A 22009-nucleotide genomic window follows, 5' to 3' on the forward strand; every position below is an offset into this window, starting at 1 on the left:
AATCAAAAGAAGAAAACAGAGGTCTGCTGCCTGAATGCAGTAGCAGATCCCAAACTTGCTTAAAACCTCACCCATATTCTTAGGGAAAATATGCAAATATACTCGAACACATTGAATTGGACATTTTAAACTACTGAATTTTATTATATGTAAATTATATCTCAGTAAAGTTGTTTTTTTAAAAAGAAAGAAAATGAGAACAAAGCTTTGGAAAATGGAAGAGGGATAAAGGTGGTAGGAACTTGATCCTGGGTAAACTGAGAAAGAAGGGACTAGGGCCACCACCTGATGACAGCAGACCTGACAAAGGGGAACCTGCAAGAGCACTGCTTGAGTGTTCATGAGCTATTTGGGAGCAACTAACTGCTAACTGACTGTTCACCAGCCACCCTGCCAAGAATCCTATAGTTGAACCCAGACTCGGGCCCCTCATTCCTCCCATCGGGGCCACTAGACTTAGCTTTGTCTACACCAAGGCTTCACCCTCTACCCGGCCAGCAGCAGTGATGTCTGCCTATACCATAATCTTGCTTAGCTTGGCCCCTTCTGAACACCCCAGTGGGCCCTCCATACCACAGCCAACGTCCCAGACCAGTCATAAGCCCAATGAGGGGGTCATGGATGCTAGGTGGTAAGATGTATTTGATGGGTCTGCAGGACCATGGGAGGCTGAAGAAACAAGCTAGACAGCCCTGAGCTAACCCACGTTTAGTGATTAATAACACACTGGTTACAAAAGGGTGGTTGTTCTATTTAAGAATGAGTAAGATTTAAAGATGGTAAAGAGTGAGAATTGATGAAACCATGTATCAGGCAGAGTGAAAAAATTAGGTAGAATAAGAGTAGACTGTGCGTGGTGGTTCAGGCCTATAATCCCAGCCATTTGGGAGGCTGAGACAGGAGGATGGCTTGAGCCCAGGAGTTCAAGACCAGCCTAGGCAACATGGTGAGACCCCATCTCTACAAAAAATACTTTTTTAATTAGTCAGGAAGCGTGGTGCACACCTGCGGTCCCAGCTACTCAAGAGGCTGAGGTGGGGGGACCGCTTGAGCCTGGGAGGTCAAGGTTGTAATGAGATGTGTTTGCACCACTGCACTCCAGCCTGGGTGACAGACTGAGACTCTATTCAAAAAGAAAAGAGAGAGAGAGAGCAAGAGTGGATGCACTGGCTGGCAAGAACACTCTGTATGGGTAAATATTATTCTCCTAAATTACAAATAGGAAAACTGAAGCTCGGAGAGGTTAAACTCTGTTCCCAAATTCACAGAGCTAGCAAGTGATATAACCAAGATTGGAATCCACATCTTTTTTACTCCACTGCTCCCACACATCCTGTCTCTTTCTTCTGAAATCCAAATTCCTCTTAAAACCACATTGCTACTTAAAATTCCACCCTTTGCTTCCTCATCAGGTTAATTTGTAGCTGTACTATCAGAATAGAAATTTTCAGGAACTACTACCAATTGTGTACTGTGTACCCATGTAGACTCAATGGACAGAGATGATACTTTTCCCTTAGCTTTCTGATATTTGCCTTGCTGAAGTCCGGAGGTATTCCTAAATAAGCCCAGCATTCTCTCCTACTCTAAGATGAAACAGACATTACCTCTCATGTTTCAACTACCAGTTCTTCCTTGATTAGATTAGCAGTTCTTGTCTCCTTGATCTTCAGAAATTAAAACTACCAGCAGGGCAGGGCAAAAGCTTATGAGCTCCTCTGGTCAGCTGCTGGTGCTCCCTGTCACAGCTGCATGTGGCTGCTGGGAACTGCATGGGCCCTGCACTAGTTTAATAATCTGAATTTGAAAGGAATGTTTATATCCCACACATGCCAAGACCTAGGAGTCATCACTTCTTTTTCTTTCTATTTTTACCCTCTCATCCAATGCATTCCTCTGGCTGTAACCTGTACAATCATGTACTGTCTCTGAGGTGCAGCCACCTCCCCACACAAAAGTCTGTTATAGCACCTCTGCTTCATTGGGATAAAGAGGCCCTTCTGTAGCAGTCACTGCTGGTTGCCTATCCAACAGCCACTCACTCTTTCCTTGTTGGGAAAAAATCCCTACTTCTGCCCATGTACCAACCATGTACCAACAATGGTACAGATATAGATCTTGACTGGCCTAAGCCAGATGTCAGCAAACTTTTTCTGTAAAGAGTGAGATAGTAAATATTTTGGGTTTATGGATCATAAGGTCTCTTGCAACTAACTCAATTCCAATGTTGTGAGGTGAAAGCAGCCATAGAAATAAGTAAACAAGTAGGCATGGCTGTGTTCCCAAAAACCTTTCTTTACAAAAACAGGCATCAGGCTGGATTTGTCTCAGGGGCTGTACTTTGCTGACCCCTGGCCTAAGCCAATGGGACCAATGTAGTTCCATTTTCTTGCCAGAAACTGGTTGAAACATAGGCATATGATACAACCATGGCCAATGTGAGATGAAGGCAGATGTGTGAGCAGCTTCTGGGAAAGTCTTTCTTCGAAAGGCTCATAAAAAGTAATAATCCCTCTTTTCTGCCACACATCATCACATCTGAATATGATGCTTGGGAATGTTGCAGCTATTTTGAGACCATGCAATTTGGAAACCCTTTTGACCTGTGGCACACCCTTAGGCTTCCTTAACTGTAAATGAGGAATAATGATAACTACTTATAAAACCTAAATGATGTAAAGTATATCAAGTGCTTAGCAGTATGGGCATTGTCTTAGTCTGTTTTCTGCTGTTAGAATATCTGAGACCAGGTAATTTATAAAGAAAAAAAGAAACTTATTTCTCACAGTTCTGGAAGCTGGGAAGTACACAAGCATGGTACTCGCATCTGGCAAGAGCCTTCATGCTGCATCATCCGATGGCAGAAGGCAGAAGGGCAAGAGAGCACATACAATACTGAAAAGAAAAGGGGGTTGCACTCCCGCTTTTTACCAGGAGCCCACCCCCAGATAACTAACCCACTCCTATGATAAAGGCATTAATCCCTTCAACAGGGCTCTGCCCCCATGATTTAATTACCTCTTCAAGGCTCCACCTCTCAACACTGTTGCAATGGGGATTAAGCTTCCAACACATAAATTTCGGGGGACACATTCAAACCATAGTAGGTATAGAGAAAGATCCCAGGAAATGAGAGCTACTACTGCTAAATTTACCATATATTTATGTGCCCACAAAAACTCTATGTAAAAGTAGGTATTCAATAAAAACTTTCTGAATAAGTAGGTACTTGGAACATTTTCCTCCCGTGAGCAAGACTGGATGTGCCCTTCCAACCCTGCTCTGACTAGGACTCTCTTGTGATGAAAAGCACATACACCTGGCTCTTTTCTAGAATTGAACCTTGATCCTTACCTGAGGGGAGCTGGGGGTTGGCTTCCTTGGCACTACTCTAACCAGCCACAGAAAAGTTCTAAAATTCCACACAACTTATAAACAAAATAGTAACTATAGAAATGATCTATCTGAGTAACTGGATTATGGTGAAAGAGTTGTCAGTAAGATTTGACACAGCACTTAAGAGTGACATAGTTCACCCTCATTGCTCATCTGCAGTAGGCAACAGCCAGGTTTGACTGCCAACGATGCTAAGACAAGGAGATGAGGTGCCTTTGTCACTATCATTAAGATTTATATTTATTTATATATATATATATAAAATTTTTTTTTTGAGATGGAGTTTCGCTCTTGTTGCCCAGGCTGGAGTGCAATGGCGCAATCTCAGCTCACCGCAACCTCCACTTCCTGGGTTCAAGTGATTCTCCTGCCTCAGCCTACCAAGTAGCTGGGACTACAGGCATGCGCCACCACACCTGGCTAATTTTGTATATTTAGTAGAGATGGGGTTTCTCCATGTTGGTCAGGCTGGTCTCAAACTCCCAACTTCAGGTGATCCACCCACCTCGGCCTCCCAAACTGCTGGGATTACAGGTGTGAGCCACTGTGCCCGGTCAAAACTAGCTAGTCTAAGGGTCTAAAGAATTCTGTCTGTAATGAGGGATGAGAAGGACCAAACGAATGTAGCCCTAATAGAAGTAGATATTATAAAATTCTAACTCCTTTTTAAAAGAGAGCCTCTGGATGGAAACAACTAACACTGGGGACTACTAGAAGGGAGAGAGAGGGAGGGAGACAAGGGCTGAAAAACTACCCATTGGGTACTATACTCACCACCTGGGTGATGGGATCATTTGTGCCCCATTGAAGTTTCAGGTGTACATGTGCAGGTTTGTTATATGGCTATATTGTGTGACAGTGAGGTTGAATTTATTTTTTTTAAGATTTTCATCATTAATAAAATAAAAAATAATAAAGAAATGTATATGTTTCTATAAAAATAAATAGGCCAGGCATAGTGGCTCACACCTGTAATCCTAGCACTTTGGGAGGCCGAGGCGGGCAGATCACTTGAGGCCAGGAGTTTAAGACCAGCCTGGGCAATATGGTGAAACCCCATTTCTACTAAAAACAGAAAAATTAGCCAGGTGTGGTGGTGCACACCTGTAATCCCAGCTATTTGGGAGGCTGAGGCAGGAGAATCACTTGAACCTGAGAGGCAGAGGTGGCAGTGAGCCAAGATTGTGCCACTGTACTCCAGCCGGGGACACAGAGCAAGACTCTGTCTATAAATAAATAAATAAATAAATAAATAAAGAGTCTCTCTTACTCTCCCAAGTGAGGTTTCCTCAACTTCTCAGATAAAAAGTGCATCCTCTGGCCCCTTGCCCCTCAAAGCGTGATCCACAAACCAGCAGCATCAGTCTCTCCTGGCAGCCTTGAACAAACGTAGCGTCTCAGGCCCCACCCAGACCTACTGAATCAGAACGCACCTTGTATCAGGATCCCCAGGGGGATCTGTGTGCACATTAATGGTCAACACTGTGCTTGCTTTCTCCAAAGGATTGTGCTCGCTTGTACAAAATGAGTAAAACAATTATGGTGCAGAGAAGTTGAATATAAACTTGTAAATATAAGCTTGTATGAGGCTACTAAGTAGTACAAAACACTCTCAAATTTTAAGTTCATATCTTTTTTTTTTTTTTTAGACGGAATCTCGCTCTGTCACCTGGGCTGGAGTGCAGTGGTGCTATCTCGGCTCACTGCAAGCTCCGCCTCCCAGGTTCACACCATTCTCCTGCCTCAGCCTCCCAAGTAGCTGGGACTACAGGCACCCACCACCACGCCTGGCTAATTTTTTTGTATTTTTTAGTGAAGATGGGGTTTCACCGTGTTAGTTAGCCAGGATGGTCTCAATCTCCTGACCTCATGATCCGCCCGCCTCGGTCTCCCAAAGTGCTGGGATTACAGGCGTGAGCCACCACGCCTGGCCAAGTTCATATCTTAATGCTACAGCCTTTATAACTAAATGCCTTTAAGGTAGTCATGTTGGGATTTTTTTCTTTCTTAATAGCATCCCATAATGATCGTACATGTTCCAAAAATTAAAATATATAATTAACCTGGGAAGGGAAAAAAAAAAACCTTAGATGCTAAAATATAGGCAGGATACCACAGCTTACCTATAACTTGAAAAAGTAATATCTGAAAAGTGAAAAACTCTCATCAATTATTTGTGTCATCTCTAAGACAGGCAATAACTGTAAATCTCCTCACACTAAACTGGTTAAACTTAACAGTCAGTCAAAGATTATGCTGACAACCACTGGGTCATGTTGGAAAAAGCAATGAATCAGCAATACTCCCAAGAACACTCTGGGTTTTCAAATTTATTTTTGATAGTGGATTCCTTTTCCTCAAATACAGTCATCTTGGGAACTCCCAATATATAAAAGCTCGAGGAAGTAGTGGGTAAAGGAACCAAGGCTCCAGCGGCTCACCTGCTCCTCTCTTACAATGCTCCTTTGCCCCTTTCTGCCTTTTGAAATCTGCCTAACCTTCAAGGCCAAAGATAAATGGGCTTTTGCTTCACTTTGCACACATAGATCTATCCTATGAGTGAATAATTAGTATGCTCTTTTTCAAGCTAAGGAAATTGAAGCTCAGAGAAGTTAAAAACTCATCCAGGGTCAATGGCAGCAAAGTGAAGGCTTCAGTTCAGGACTTCCTGACTCCAAATTCTAGCCTCTCAACTGCCACCCTGCATGTTGTCTGTAATGCTTTACAAGGCTCCACTTGGTACTTTCAGAGCATTTTTCTTCCCCAGCATATTTCACATCCTGCCTCGCATTACACATTTTTCTTCCCCATGACTCATCAGCTCCTGGAGAGCAGACATTGTTCTGCTCAATCACTCATGATCTAGCAAAAATTTATAAATAGCAAATGGAGTTTTCCCAGTTTTCTGGGGCTTGCCTTCCTTGAGAAAGTCCACCCCTGAAAATGCTAAGTGTTCACCAAGCCAGGCTGCTTCAGGTAAATGATATGTACTGCCATCACCCCCTGCCCCTCCTCCATCCAGCTGGGGTCATGTGACTAGTTCTCACTAACATAATTTGAAATGGAAGAAAAATAAAGCCATTCTAGGCTGATGAGTCCCAGGTAGCCTTCCCTAAGTTCTCTCTCTTTCCTGCCTCCTGGCTAGCTGCAGAGGATCCAGTGAAGTTGCATAGGTCCAAGAAGATGATGGAGATATGGGTGAAAGAATAACTGAGTGACAGTGGATTATGAAGAGGGCAAGGAACCAATATATTAATCCACTGAGACTTTAGAGTTGTTTGTTATAGCAACTGGCATTTGCAGACAGATACATTCCCACCTATCCAAAGTCCATAAGTCAACTTTTTTCATTAGCAAGCTATTCTTTCACTATAAAAATGTTTTCAAAATTTAACCTTTGGAATAATGGAAAGATATTAAGTATCAGCCAGGCATGGTAGCTCATGCCTGTAATCCCAGCACTTTGGGAGGCTAAGGCAGGTAGATCACTTGAGGCCAGGAGTTTGAGACCAGCTTGGCCAATATAGCAAAACCCCATCTTTACTTAAAAAATTAAAAATATTAGCCAGACATGGTGGCGTGTGCCTGTAGTCCCAGCTACTCAGGAGGCTGAGGCAGGAGAATTGCTTGAACTCGGGAGGCAGAGGTTGCAGTGAGCTGAGATTGCACAGCTGCACTCCAGCCTGGGCGACAGAGCAAGACTCCATCTCAAAGGCAAACAAACAAACAAACTCCTTTCAATGGAGTGCTGGCACCCCTAAGAATTATCTGACTCCATTAGGACTGTGCACCTGTCACTGCCTTTGAACTATTTTACAACTCTTTAAATTACAGATAACAAATAGCAAAACAAATAATTCTCTAAACAAGCAAATTAAATATCCAGAAAAGGGACAACCCTTGCTGACTGGAAAAAGTCAGTCTTGCATCCATCTGTAAATTCATTTCAACAATTTTTGACTCCACATAGATTGGTGGTTCTTTCATGTCTCATTTGAGCCAGTTATGGTATTTGCCTGGCTTCTTCATTAATAACGAGTTAAATAAAATCTCTGACATGTTCACTTTAAATCTATAGGAGAATCATGATTATACCTTATTTTAAAAATTATCTTTTAACAAGTATGAATTATTGGTGGCCCATCATAAAGTCACTAGACCAAGGTTTTAAAGTAAGAGTGTTTTGATACAGTGAGGGGGATTAAGAGAAGAGTGAAGCCTCTTGGGATCCCAGGACAGTCCTGGGGAGGTGTGGCAGGTGCTCAAATGAAGAATGCAAAGTGAGAATGATGACCAGGAAGAAGGAAGAAGAAAAGGCTGCAAGGTTCCACTGGAAACAAACTTCTAGCACAGAATTTTCCCCATGGTTTGCCCCACCTTCTTGTTACTACTGGAGTAAATAAATGAGTTGTCTTTCTATCTCTCTGTGGTTTCCATTGCTGGATCCTGAGCTGTTAGGTCTAGTTGGAAACCACTCTTCACCTTAACTCTGTGTGCATGGCCTCTACTATTGGTCTATTTCCCCCGTGGCAGGACTCAGAAGCCCAAGGCTCTGGTCCTGTGGGATGTGCAATACTTTATCAGGTTTGTGATAAACAAACCCAGGTGGTAGTTCACCCAATGCCTATGGCTGATTTCATACAAATCTTCGGCAGTTGAAAGTTGCCAATATGACTTCAGGTATTTACCCCCAAGGATTCATCAAATCCTTCCTGTTCCAAACAGTCACTATCCTCTTTCAAGAGAAGCAGCTCAAAAATTCAAATCCCATTATTTCAGAAAGATTTCAGCCCTGCAGGAAAACTGAGAGATGGAAGGTGTAAATCAACATCCCCTAAGTTGTGAGCACTTCATTTTAAATTCCTTCCCTGGGTCTTTAATCTGTTTGTAAAGTTTATTTTGAAAGTTCTTCACATGAATTGAACTGGGACCTGTTGTTGACCATATAGCTATATTTTGTGCCAGATTCTGTAAATCATTCTGTGCAAGCAGAAAGGTTCTGAGTTGGAAAAGCAGAACCCTGTGGCCATTAATTCTCAAATGCTGAAATGAAATAAACAAGTTGATTTCAACTTCACCTGATCACTAAGCTTCGCTTTAAGGCTTTAGCATCCTTTTTTATGGTCTCAGTTGGAGACAGGGAAAAATTACTTAATTGCTCTGTTTCTGAATTGCAAAAGTTAAGTGCATTCTTTCTCTGATCCAGATTAAGTAAAACAAGTAAAATTTGGGAGACTCCAAATATTCCAGATTCTTAATAGAGTGGACCAAGAGCATTTAATTAAGCAATTCACCTTAATTAGCACCATGTAACCACAAATCAAGAGATAAGGACCCATTTTGACTACTTTCTCCATTTTGTTTTAACAGTTGGAAACTCTTTAACATCATCTTTGTTCACTTTCCTCTGTATTTTTTCAAAGAGGACAATTTATACTTAATTTCTTCCTTTCTGAAAAACTTCCCAGTTTTCCTAGTGTTTCTTCTTGTTTAATTCCCAGAAGAGCCTACTAGATGTTTTCATATTTCAATAATTCCCCAACTGAGCCTACGAGTGCATTCTGATTACAAAGAAATTAGTTCACAGCATTCTCCTCAGATGTAATATGTCTTATTAATGTTTTTATTAACTGTAGTGGATGAAGAGGTTATTTTCTGGATTAGTTCCAAGTCTCCTTTTCTGGCTCTCCAAAGGAAAAGTGATTGCTGAATTTTCCCATAAGAAATGCATTTGTAATAAAAGAAATGTGATTTTTTCCAATTCTCTAATTCAATATAATTTAATTATGAAAATACAGAGAAGAGCTTCAGCTTCTAAGAAGCATTGAGTCTATTATTTCACACAGATCGTAAGAAGAAATAAAATCAAGATAGATAATTTGGAGCCAAGATATTTGGGTTTAGGTTTCCAGACGGCTCTTCCTAACCAACAAGTTCAAATTTACTTTTAGTGAAACTTTGGTACCATTAACCCAACAGCTCCTACAGGGCATTAAAGAAACAAAAAGAAAATATTTTCAAACCAGGAACCTAAAACATTTAAAATGCTACATCGTAATAATAATTTTCTACATTCAGAAGTGAGATACAAAAAGAAGACTTGATTCTCAGAACTGGGGAAGCAATGAACCAGTGGCAGAGAGAATCAGGTTTATAAATGTCTCACTTCCATCTAGGTGATGCAATAGTTGTTTTCATTCTTTGGTAGGAGCTGTCAAAGGCTTTATGTCTATAAAGCCACCTAATTAACTATTTGTAAATTTTTAAATTGCTCAACCACTCCATGAGAGTGCCATCTGATTTTCCTCTGATTCAGCGGCTAAGCTGATCAATGTAATTGACTCAACGCTTCTAAGGTCTGATCGTTTCTACAGTGAAGAATCACTCAAAGTTCATTCCAAAAATAAAAAATAAAATGTTAGGTGATGTTCTGGAAAAAACTAGCCTCAAAATACTCTCTAAAGTTTATGACCAGAAAGCAGGCTATAGTTAGTGGATTACTAAAGACTCTGTAGATATTAAAAACACTTTGGAGTAAGTAGAACCAGCAAAAATAACAATGAGGTGAAGCTCTACCTGCCATATGATAGCTAAGCTTAGTGTCAGTTATAAGCATGACAGAAAACCCTCAGTACCTGATCAGTTACCATGTTTTCCACAAATTAACCTTATGTTATCTAAAAACCTTGCCCCACCCCCCACATTACTATCCAGGAGAGATGCAATAGAGCATCCCCTTTCTCCTCCCAACTGTGCTTGAAAATTTCAGGCCCAGAATGGCGATCAGCTGGAAGAAAAATCCCTTTTAAAAATCAACAGTACTCCATGCTGTGTGCTAGATGTTCTGAGGTTCCCCAAAAAAATAAGCAAAATGAGATAGTGCAGTGAATAGAAATTAAATAATACTGACAAATGACTGGAAGAATTTCAAAAGGAAGGGCTCAGCGTGAGTTAGGGTTCCCAGGAAAGGCTTCGGCCAGATCCAGGTGTAGACACATGGAAAGGGGAGACAACTATTCCAAGAAAGAAAAACAATGGTAGAAAAAGTCGGTAGGGAATGTTTGATACATGTTCTGGTGATAGAGGTCTCAGACAGAGCAACAAAAAGAAACAGGCAGGAAGATAGACCAGACAGCACACAGAGATCCCTAAATATACCAAGAGTATATAAAAGAGATAAAGATATTTTAAGAAATGCTTCTGAACCTTGAACTGTTGGCTCCTCTAATTTCCTGATTTAAATCTCTGATTCCTTGTTTTAACATTTAATTTCTTCTTCGCTTTTGGTTTGTTGTATTTTCACTTTGCACCATCAATTCTTTTGAATTTCAAAAATAACTTCAGCTTCCTGAGGCCAGCTTGACAGTTCATTTAGGAGATCCTACGTAACCTACTACTTATAGTATTGCTTCTGTGAACCCTGAGTCGGGAGATGCAGCTGGTCCAAAGGTTGTTATTTTAACAACCAAGGTTAATTTTTCTTCCTCAACATAGGAACATCCTCAGGGAGGCTTTTCACCTGAGGGGTTAGCTGAGTGCTCTGGACATACTAAATTCTCATGGTGGCCACTGGACTATAGCGACACTCAACTAACTCTATTTTATGGGTTTCCTTCATTACATTAGCATTTGAGACTTAGAGCTGCTTCACGTTCATTTTCTCAAAAGAAAATTTAAAGGGAGGAGAAGGGAATTTGCAGTGTTCCACAGCTGACCTGGGCAAAGTGAACATCATCTGGGTTCATCTGGGTTCTGTCTATGACTCTTGGAATTAATGAATTCCTGAAGCTTCAGTGCTGTCTGCCTGAGATTTTTGGTGTGAAATTCCTACATAGCTGTGAAAACATCATTAAATGTCAGTCTTCAAGAAAAACTTGGACAACCCACAAAATTATCTATGCCATCAATCCTTTCCTCTTTCCAAATACCTTAAAGTGTCTCATGTTAAAGGAAAACAAGAATTTGACTGTAACCAATATCTAGAACTGTTCATCAGAAGTCTCGTGAACATAAAAATAAAAGAAAAACACAGAGTACCTTAAATTCTTTTTAGGCTAGCACCTGCTTTTCTTTAGGCTTGGCCAGTTCTCTTTCTGACTTTTGGTTCTAATGAATTCTGTGTTTGTAGTTCACAGTGCACATCTGCGAGAACAGTTGGGAATGAGCAGCAGGATGGAAGTCTATTCATTTTTGGGTATTTAACCTATTTATAACCTACGTCATGCTAAAAAGAGGATTTGGAGTTTCTAGCACAAATAGGTACGATACAGCAGGATATAAATACATAAGAGGAAAACTCAGGCAATACGTGCATTTAAAACCTACTAAAATCCTGAGTTTGTTGAATCCTTTACCACAAGCATATAGATATTCTTCCCTAGAAATTCCCAACTACTACAAATCCACAAGTAACCAACAACTCAAATGGAAAGATCTATGAATAAAAAAAATTATCAGGCTTAAAAGGCATCCTCTTATGTGTTCATTTCTCTTATGTTCAGTTTCTTTTACATGTTCATCCTCACAAGGCAGAGATCATTATCTCTGCTTTAAACTCTAGCACCAGGGTGTCTTAGCTAATGTGAAAAAAAAAAAAAGAGGTCTGCACCCAAGTCTTTGCTTCTCTTGTCTAGGAAAAATAATTCCATTCTTTCCAGAGAAAGAGTGAATGGCATTACTCTCTAATTCAGAAACCCTGGGTACCATCTTGGGGATGGAAGGACTCCCAGGCGTCTGGCAGATACCTACTTGAAGAAGCTCCTACTGAGAGAAGCCCACTCATCCTGGATACAGGTGTCTGAGTATACACCTCCATGGTCCAGATTCAGGAGTCTGTAATGTGACCATGAGCTTTCCGGGAAAATTAAATCATGAATATTGACTTTGTTTGATCTCTATATGATTATAAAAAGCTGAGGGTTTTTTTTAAGACACATTAATCCAACACATGAAAGATCATTAAAAGTAATGTACATTTTTGCTCATGGGGATTCCATTCACAATGTACAGCAACACTTCTGAAAATGCTCTTTCTCCATCTCCCTACATAAACAGAAGCTGCCTCACCCCTGGGGCACAACCAGTAGATTCGGTTTAAGACAGTTGTTTTATAGGGGTAGCATCCAGGTATCAATAATTTTTATAGCTCTCTAGGAGTTCTAAGAAATGGATTCCACTGGCAGCCAAGATTGAGAGCAGTCATCTGGGGGCTTTAGCCAATCTACCATCTCTCTTTGTGCTGGTTACATTGGGCTGAGGTTTCTTTCCTTCCACTCATTCCATACACATACTTAATTATGTTAGTCTTGGCAGCTTCGAGCAAACCTTTAGGCCATAGCTTAACATGTTATACATCAAAATACACTGACATTTGTTGCAATGAGGAGCTGTTTGAAATCTCACACTTCCCACTATTTTTTGCAAAGCATCTTTTCCTTGCTGCCACAATCTGTGTTGCACTATATTAAGTAGTCAATCTTAGCTACATGTTAAGTGTTTTAAATGGATAATAAGAAAAAAGGAGGAAGAGAAGAGAGTGCTGACATATTTTAGGGCTAAGGGTCTCACTTCCTCACAGTCAAGTGCTCTGTTTCCAGAAGGCCTACTTCCCACACTTAGGCTGCAATGCATTATACCCTCCTACCAATTCAAAACACATGCATCTTATGTTCCTCTCCCTTTCATCTTGCCAAATTAGCAGCTAATGAACCTGATAAATTAATCCCTTACAGTGCATAATAAATGATAATGTTTTAATGAGTTGTTCTACCCAGATAGCAGTTCTGCATTTTTCTAAGGCCTTCTGAAGACACGTATCAATGCAAAGGAAGGCTCTAATATTGGAAAGCAGGCGCTGTGTGAGGACAGCAAGGCTGATATAAATTAGAGGATCAGACAGCGCATCCTTGAAGTCACACCTCAAATGAGATGGCTGCCCACTCAAAGCAAGCCCTGGTGATAAGTGATAATTCAGTCCCTCACTATAGAATTGCTCAGCCACTGACCTCACATTTATGAGACCACACTCTGCCCCATGACTATGTATCTCTTTATCTGTCAGCCTCTCACTATTTTCAGAACATACAGCACACACTTTGTAGGTGCTCAATGAATATCTGGTTAAAAGATAGATACATGAGTGCTCCCCTCCATTCCTCTGTTTTACACAAACATCCCTAGACCATTAATTGAGCATCATGTTTGTTAAGGATTTCTAGAGAAAAATATACCACTTCCTCAATCAAGTGTCCATTCCAATGTTAGATGTAGACTTTTGAAAAAATAAAGACAGCTATAATAATTCTCAATTAACAAACCAATAGATTTATCCACCTGGAACATCAATCAAATTCTAAAGTAGACAAAAATGGTCTCTTCTTGAGATGGAACAATGCCACCCTCAAGCTCTCATCCAGAACTCATGAACTCAAACCAAATAAAGATAATAATTTAACAAGATTGATCATGGGATTCTTAGAGGATAGAAGAGACATAGATGTGTATCACCAACAAGAGAAGAAAATAGAACAACACAGAAACCATGCATGACACACGTGGTAACTGCCCTCTGGCTCCATCCATTCCACCCATCATGTGATCACATTCTCCTTGCCAACAATTGTTCAGAAATGGGCATGTGACCTAATCTCAGCCAAGCAGGGGCATGATATAGTCTACTGGGGGATTCTCGAAAGGCTGCCTCTCTCTTAAGAAAGAAGTACAGTGGCCAGGCACAGTGGCTCACCCCTGTAATCTCAGTACTTTAGGAGGCCAAGGCAGACGGATCACTTGAGGTCAGGAGTGCAAGACCAGCCTAGTCAATATGGTGAAACCCCATCTCTACTAAAAATACAAAAATTAGCTGGGCTGTGGTGGTGTGTGCCTGTAATCCCAGCTACTCGGGCTGCTGAAGCAGGAGAATCGCTTGAACCCGAGAGGTGGAGGTTGCAATGAGCTCAGATCACACCACTGCACTCCACCCTGGGAGACAGAGTGAGACCCTGTCTCAAAAAAAAAAAAAAAAGAAAGAAAAGAAAAGAAAAAAAAGAAAGAAGCACAGTGGGCCAGGCACAGTAGCTCATGCCTGTAATCCCAGCACTTTGGGAGACCGAGTGCAGGCAGATCACTTGAGGTCAGGAGTTCGAGATCAGCCTGGGCAACATGGCGAAACCTCATCTCTACTAAAAATACAAAAATTACAGGCATGGTGCATGCCTGTAATCCCAGCTACTGGGGAGGCTGAGGCGGGAGAATCACTTGAACTCAGGAGGTGGAGGTTGTAGTGAGCCAAGATCACGCCACTGCACTCCAGCCTGGGCAACAAAGTAAGACTCCATCTCACAAAAAAAAAAGGAAAGAAAGAAGCACAGTGAAAAGACAGTTGCCTTCCTTCTCTGAACAATGTCTTTTCTGTGAAACCTGAAATTGTTCCAGCCATTGCAACTAAAAGGAAGCCAGCCTGAGGGCCAAGTCAACACACCAAGGATAGTAGTAGAGCAAAATGGGAAAAACTTGTGTCACTCCTGACAACTGGGGTTCTGCATCAATAGACCCAGGAGCTTTATTTCTGGACTTCTTGTTTTGAGGGGAAAAAAATGTATTTCTTCATTCTATAAACCAATTTAAGTTAGGATTTCTATAATCTATAACTGAAGGCATTCTAACAAATAAAGGAAGAATAAAGAAATGAATCACCAGGTATTAATTATATTGGAAATAAACATTAAAATGGATATGTTGATTCATCTTTGGTCATACTGATTTTTACACTTTAAAGATGATAATTGTGTGATTTATTATAGCAACAGGATAAGAAGTGGTGTGGGTCACAGTGTCTGCTCTCTGTACAGGTTCTTGTTAATAAATCTGAAAATGAACCTGTTAGATGAAAGAAGAAATTAATTCTGCATATGTGAATAGAGAGCTTCCTATATGCTACTAGCGTTTGACCCATCAGTCAATACACCTCAATCAAAACATGGAACTTTCACTCCTGATGCTCTCTATCCCAGCAACACACAGTTCACTCCACAGTCACAATTCCCTGCAGCAAGATGAAGAAACTAAGTTCTCTCCCTCCAAAGCTTCAGAGGCAATGCATATGTAACAGTGCAGAAAACAGAAGTACAGAGAATTTGAGGCCTGAATCTACTGCTTTGCCTTAGAAAGTCATCTATGTTCCTGCTCTTGGCACTTCACAGGAAATGAGACTATAATCTATTCCAAGAGTTTGCATTATTTTTAGTTCACTACCCACCTCAATCTGTTCATTTTTAAAAATTTATATGGGTTTTAGCATTTGCTTTGGAATACCATTCATATTGTAAAAATGGAGGTGATAACCTATAAATAAAACAACCCCATTTAAAAATAGGAATGAAGCGGACAGCCAATTAAAGTGTTATCATATTAAATAGGATTACTTTTCAAAGGATCTCAGTGTTTGCATTTTTATTGATTCATTACAGGAAAAAGTATACGTAATTTTACAATGTTTACGCTCTGAGCATAGCTGCCATGAGGCTCTGCTTTCAAAATGCTGCAAAACGCTGCTGCTCCTTAAATACCTATTGAAATCTGAATCCATTCCCTATGGCTGCTATAACAAATTACCACAAACTTCAGATAACACAAATTTATTACCTTGCAGTCCTGGAGGTCAAAAGTCTGAAATGGGTCTCACTGAGCTAAAACCAAGTTATTGGCAGGGTTGCATTCCTTCCAGAGGCGTTGGAGGAGAATCAGTTTCCTTGCCTTTTCCAGCTTCTAGAGGCTGACAGCATTCCTTGGCTGATGGCTACATCACTCCGACCTCGCTCCCATCATCACATCTTCTTCTCTAACTCTGAACCTCCTACTTCCCTCTCATAAGAACCTTGTAATTATAATGAGCCCACCCAATAATCCAGGATAACCTACCCATTCCAATTTAAAGATCCTTCCCTTTTTGTTTTTTTTTTTTTAGACAGGGTCTTACTCTGTCACCCAGGCTGGAATACAGTGGCATAATCATGGCTTATTCCAGCCTTAAACTCCTGGTGATATGGTTTGGGTGTGCCCCAACCCAAATCTCATCTTGAATTGTAGTTCCCATAATCCCCATGTGTGCTGGGACGGACTTCGTGGGAGGTGCTTCAATTATGGGGGCAGTTTCCCCATGCTGTTCTCATAGTAATGAGGGAGTTCTCACAACATTTGATGATTTTATAGGGGGCTTTTACCCCACTGCAATTTTCCTCCCTGCTACCACCAGGTGAGGAAAGACATGTTTGCTTCCCCTTCTGCCATGATTGTAAATTTCCTGAGGCCTCCCCAGCCCTGCAGAACTGTGAGTCAATTAATCCTCTTTCCTTTATAAATTACCCAGTCTTGGGTATCTCTTCATAGCAGCATGACAACAAACTAATAATACACCTGGCCTAAGTGATCCTCCCACCTCAGCCTCCTGAGTAGCTGGGACTACAGGCACATACCACCCTCAGCTAACTTTCTGCAGTTTTTGTAGAGATGGAGTCTTGCTATGTTCCCCAGGCTGTCCTCAAACTCCTGGCCTCAAACAATCCTCCTGCCTCAGCCTCTTAAAGCACTGGGATTACAGGTGTGAGCCACTGTGCCCAGCCTAAAGATCCTTAATTTAATCAAATCAGTAAAGTCTCTTTTTCCATGTAGGGTAATTTATTCACAGGTTCCAGATGTTAGGACATAGACATCTTCGGGGAGCCATTATCACAAAATCCATCACAAAGAAGGAAAGAGTTTCTACTATTTTACCTGACCTCAGAGTCTTTAGTAAACTGAACCATTTAATATTGATCCAGAAGTTGTTATTGGTTTTGAATTACTAGGAGATATTCCTGTCCTTCCGAGAAAAGGTTGGTGGGCTAATAAAATTCTAGACCCAGATACTCCTCAAACACAATCTTCTCAGTGAGAAGAACAGTTTGAAATATTTGTTCCTTGCTTTGGTTCCCAGGAAACCCACAATGCTGAAAACATGTTGACAAAATGAATTTATTAGAAAAAGAAGCAACAGCAGAAAGTAAGAGACACCTAGAGAAATAGTAAATAATAAGAAAAAGTCTGATATATTTTTAAAACTCAGGATCTGGAGAAGTCATTTTTAAAAGAATAAAAAATTACTAAACTGGTATCACTAATTTAAGAAACTTAAGCTGTGGCTGGGCACGGTGGGTCATGCCTGTAACCCCAGCACTTTGGGAGGCCACGGCGGGCAGATCACCTAAGGTCAGGAGTTTGAGACCAGCCTAGCCAATATGGTGAAACCCTGTCTCTACTAAAAATACAAAAATTAGCTGGGCATGGGAGTGGGTACCTGTAGTCCCAGCTGCTCAGGAGGCTGAGGCAGGAGAATTGTTTGAACCCGGGAGGCAGAATTTGCAGTGAGTCGAGATCGCCCCACTACACTCCAGCCTGAGCAACAGAGTGAGACGCTTTCTCAAAAAAAAAAAAAAAGAACTTTAGCTGTGCAAGGGGACTGAAATCAGGAGTCAGAACAGGAGGACAACAGAGCTTTTTGTCCTAAGCCTCAAGCCTGACAAGCCTTAAAATTTAACTGCTATTAGCCAAAACAGGGAACAACTCAGTTGTTCATCAACAGGTGACTAGATGAGCAAAACATGGTATATCCATACAATTGAATACTAGTCAGCTATATATATGTGTGTGGATGTGTATGTGAGTGTGTGCATGTGTGTACATGTGTGTATGTTATATATAACAAAGAACAAACTACTGATACATACAACATAGTTGAATCTCAAAATCTTTATGCTAAGTGATCTAAGCCAGACACAAAATGGTATATACCATATGATGTCATTTGTACAAAATTCTAGAAAATGCAAACTAATCTATAGTGACCAAAGGCCAGTGGTTATCTGGGGTTGAGGACTGGAGGAGGGATGCACTGCAAAGGGGCATGAGGAATCACTGGTGGTGGGATGATGGAAATGCTCTGCGGCATGATTGTGATGGGGGTTGCATGGGTGTATACAACTCTCAAAACTCATCAAATCATAAGCTTTCAGTGGGTGCAATTGTGTATAATACATACCTCAGTAAAGCTGATTCCTTAAAAACTTGACTCCTATTCAGTGGTAAATTTGCATTGAGGAGCATGATAATACCACAGCCCAAATGATCATTTTAGCCTTGATTCAGAGCCTCCTTATAGTTTTCTAAGACCCTCTAATTACTTATAATTACTCAAAGATGGTAAGTCCACTTCATAAGTGGTGAGACTTCATTTCTTTGATCACAATCCAGGGTAGATGCCATATGATGTTCCTAATTCTGTGCTAAGGCAACCCTGTCTCCCTCGCTCCTCTCTCCGGTAAAGTACTAGAGCATCCGAATATCATCCCATCCATACTGAAAGGCTGTTTAACTGTACATGATACCTCCATAGTATAAAGCTGTGCACAACCCGAGGAGTCACTTTACGTGTAGATTTGTGTCTGTTTTTAACCTGTTCGGTATAAATTATCTTTGTATTTTGTATCTTATTTCATTCATTTCAAACCTGTTCATGTAGAACAGAAGCATTTCAGACTAAATATTCATTCACTTGTTCACAGACCAGAGATAATCTTATTTTGTGTTTGTTTTATAGTATTTTGATATTATAATGTTTTGATACCCTTATAAGTTTTTACCAGTTTCATGTGACATGTTTTTAAAGTAATCATTGCCCAATGCATGCTGAATTTGGCCAGAAAGTAATTCAAGAAATCTTGTCTGTCCACTGGAAGCCCATCCCTTACTATCTTCTCTCCTTCCTATAGCATATTACACAGGAAATCCCAGCTACATGTCAACTACAACCTGTATGCCAATCTATAGAGTGCAACTCCCAGAATTACATCCAGAGCAAAGGCCCAGACCAACTTACAAGTTTTCAATGACATATCCCCAAAACTAGTATTTGTACCAGTTTTTCTGACTCTTAACCCTAACATCTGCCACACTGAAGGAATCAATGGGCCTAGCTGTTAAAGACTAGGAGCATTTTAGAGAAGAGTTTCCTTGGAGAAGAGATTAATTCACCTCAGGTCAAGGGAATAGGGCCTCAAGGAGTCACTGAGAGCTTAATAGCGTCTCCCCTGACAAGAGGAGAGGGACAGACTGGGGAGCTTCCCTGTCGATGTGGAAGGAAGTGCTGAGCTGAGGAGCGGCCTGCATCCTCCAAGTCTCTCACCACAAGCACGGGCCATGAATAAGAGAGAGTGAGCATGGAGTGGTCTGGCCACCCTAGCTGCTGAAATGAAATCGTGTTTGACAAGGTAATGCAGCCACAAGTCTGAACAGAAAAATCATGGGACTGCCCAACTGCTCACCCACAAGCAGGGGAAGAACTTCCCCTAGGTAATAGATTCCCAAAGGACAGAGCGGAACAAAAAATGCATTTGTTCTTCGACTCTGTCCCATGGTGCTGCTTGTCCAACATCCTGGTTACACGTATCTCCTCCCTGTGCGGATGTCCTCCTAAAGCCTACAACTGTCTCCCAACTGGGAAGGAAAAACTGAATTTCTTCCAAACATCAGGCAACTGTACTCATAATAGGCAGCTGGAGACTGTTTGGAGCCTGGCTACTTAAGGGCATAAATATAAACTCATCGAAGAAATAAGTGATCATTTTTAATTTTTAATTATCAGTTATTTCTTCGGTGAGTTTATACTTATATTCTTAACCACCCATAAATGTAGAAACCACCCATAAACAAAGAAAATCCATTTTTCTTTACAATAGATGGCAATGAAAGAAGGCTGTCATCTGAGAAATATAAAAGGAGGGGAGAAGGGAGGAAAAGGGAAATACACATGACTCTTACCCAGGCCTTGATTCTGCTGTTCCCACTCGAGGGCATCTGGCACCTGGTAGGTAGCTCCCTCCAACAGGTCCATGTTTCCCTCCTCTAAGCCTGGTTCCTGGGATGTGATACCAGGGAGGGTAAAACCTGGCAGCTCAGTGTCACCATCCAAGCCCTCATCCAGCGAGTCTGCATCTTTATCTTCCTCATCTTCTTCCTCATCTTCCTCTTCTTCATCTTCATCTTCTTCATCCTCTTCATCCTCATCTTCTTGTCCCTCTAGGCAAAAAGAAATCAAAGGGAAGCATAAACATATAATGAGTTTATGCTGAAACAAATGAATCCTTGGAAATGATCCAAACACTACAAAATAATTGTTTGGCCTTTTGAAACACATCTTTATAGCCAAAGTCAGACAATGTGAACTTTGCAGGATTATACACCCACCATATGTCCTAGAGTTTAAACTTTCAAAACCATAGTTATGTCAGATAAGTATCAGGTATTATGTTTACTGGGAGTCAAAGTTCAAGTAATATGATTTGTTATTAAAGTTATTTATATTTACAAGGGTAGTAAACATCCCCTTGCTGTTTTCTGGAGATCATTAAAAGTTTATCAGTTAGCACACTGTGAAATACTAACAGAACTTAAAAGAAGCTGTTCCCATCCCTTTATAGCTCATAATGTTAAAGGAGACAATTCATTATTTTGGCACAGCTTTTTCTATTCATCCACATCAGTGAGTAGAACTCACAAAAATGGTAAGTGAGGAGCACATAAATTCACTCTTGGATCTTGTTCTCTCTAAGGAAGAGTAATCCAAGAAACTGGAAATAATTGCATCAACATTCTCAATCCAACTCTAAAGGAATTGGGAAGTGGGATATTCACCAGGAGTGGTCAGAAAGGCAGCACATTAAAAATTACCATTATCTTCATTGTAAGAGTTAACATTCACAATTCGTCGTTTTCTTGATTTTTTTTTTTTTATTTTTTATTTATTTATTTATTTATTTTTGAGACGGAGTCTTGCTCTGTCACCCAGGCTGGAGTGCAGTGGCGTGATCATGGTTCACCACAGTCTCAGACTCCTGGACTCAAGCCATCCTCCTCCCTCGGCCTCCCACAATGCTAGTATTATAGGCGTGAGCCATGGCACTTCACCACAAGCTGTCATTTTCAATGCTCCAAGTGGAGTGGGTTTAAGGAACATATGATTCCCAATTTCATTTTGTTTCACCAATGTTAATTTCCTAGTAATACTTCAAGGCCCCATCCTCACCATGGATGCACCTCTGAAGCCCCTGGTAAGTGCCCACAAAGTTCACAGAAGGCCTTCCCTTTGCTCTCTCCCCTTGACTCTCGGCACAGCAGTTACTGCAACAGGTAATTCTCCTCCTATGGTGGAGAAAAGAAGGGAAGAAGAAGAACTGGAGCCACCCAAGAATTGTGAGACTCTCCTTTTCTGCTTCTACACAACTTTCTCCACCCATACTACCTTTCCTCTATCATTCAGAGGCTTTTTAACTTTTAAAAAAAATCACCTTTAATCTTTTTTTATTCTTATATGTCCTTTAACTTTGTAGGATTAATGTCTGTCACTATTCTAAAAATTCAACAAATATGTATCAACCCCCTAACGGGTGCCGTTGCAGACACTAGGGATAAAAGCAATAACGTCTCTGCCTTCGTGGAGCCCATGTGCCACCCAGGGAGACTCACAGCAAACAAACAGATACACCAATAGGCAGGTGACTCTACACTCTCATTAAAACTGGCA

The 22009-nt window shown here is 40.9% G+C and overlaps 1 protein-coding gene across 1 annotated transcript in view; it reads right to left on the reverse strand.

Annotated features, from left to right (window-relative positions):
• Window positions 1-22009, reverse strand: part of ARMH4 (armadillo like helical domain containing 4) — a 151453-nt gene that overhangs the window by 75716 nt on the left and 53728 nt on the right. The window contains exon 5 of the mRNA NM_001001872.4: window positions 20248-20505. Coding sequence (NP_001001872.2) covers window positions 20248-20505 — 258 coding nt within the window. The remainder of the gene's footprint in view (window positions 1-20247; window positions 20506-22009) is intronic.

Source organism: Homo sapiens, chromosome 14 (assembly GCF_000001405.40).
Source record: "Homo sapiens chromosome 14, GRCh38.p14 Primary Assembly".
In the NCBI taxonomy this organism is placed as follows: domain Eukaryota; kingdom Metazoa; phylum Chordata; class Mammalia; order Primates; family Hominidae; genus Homo; species Homo sapiens.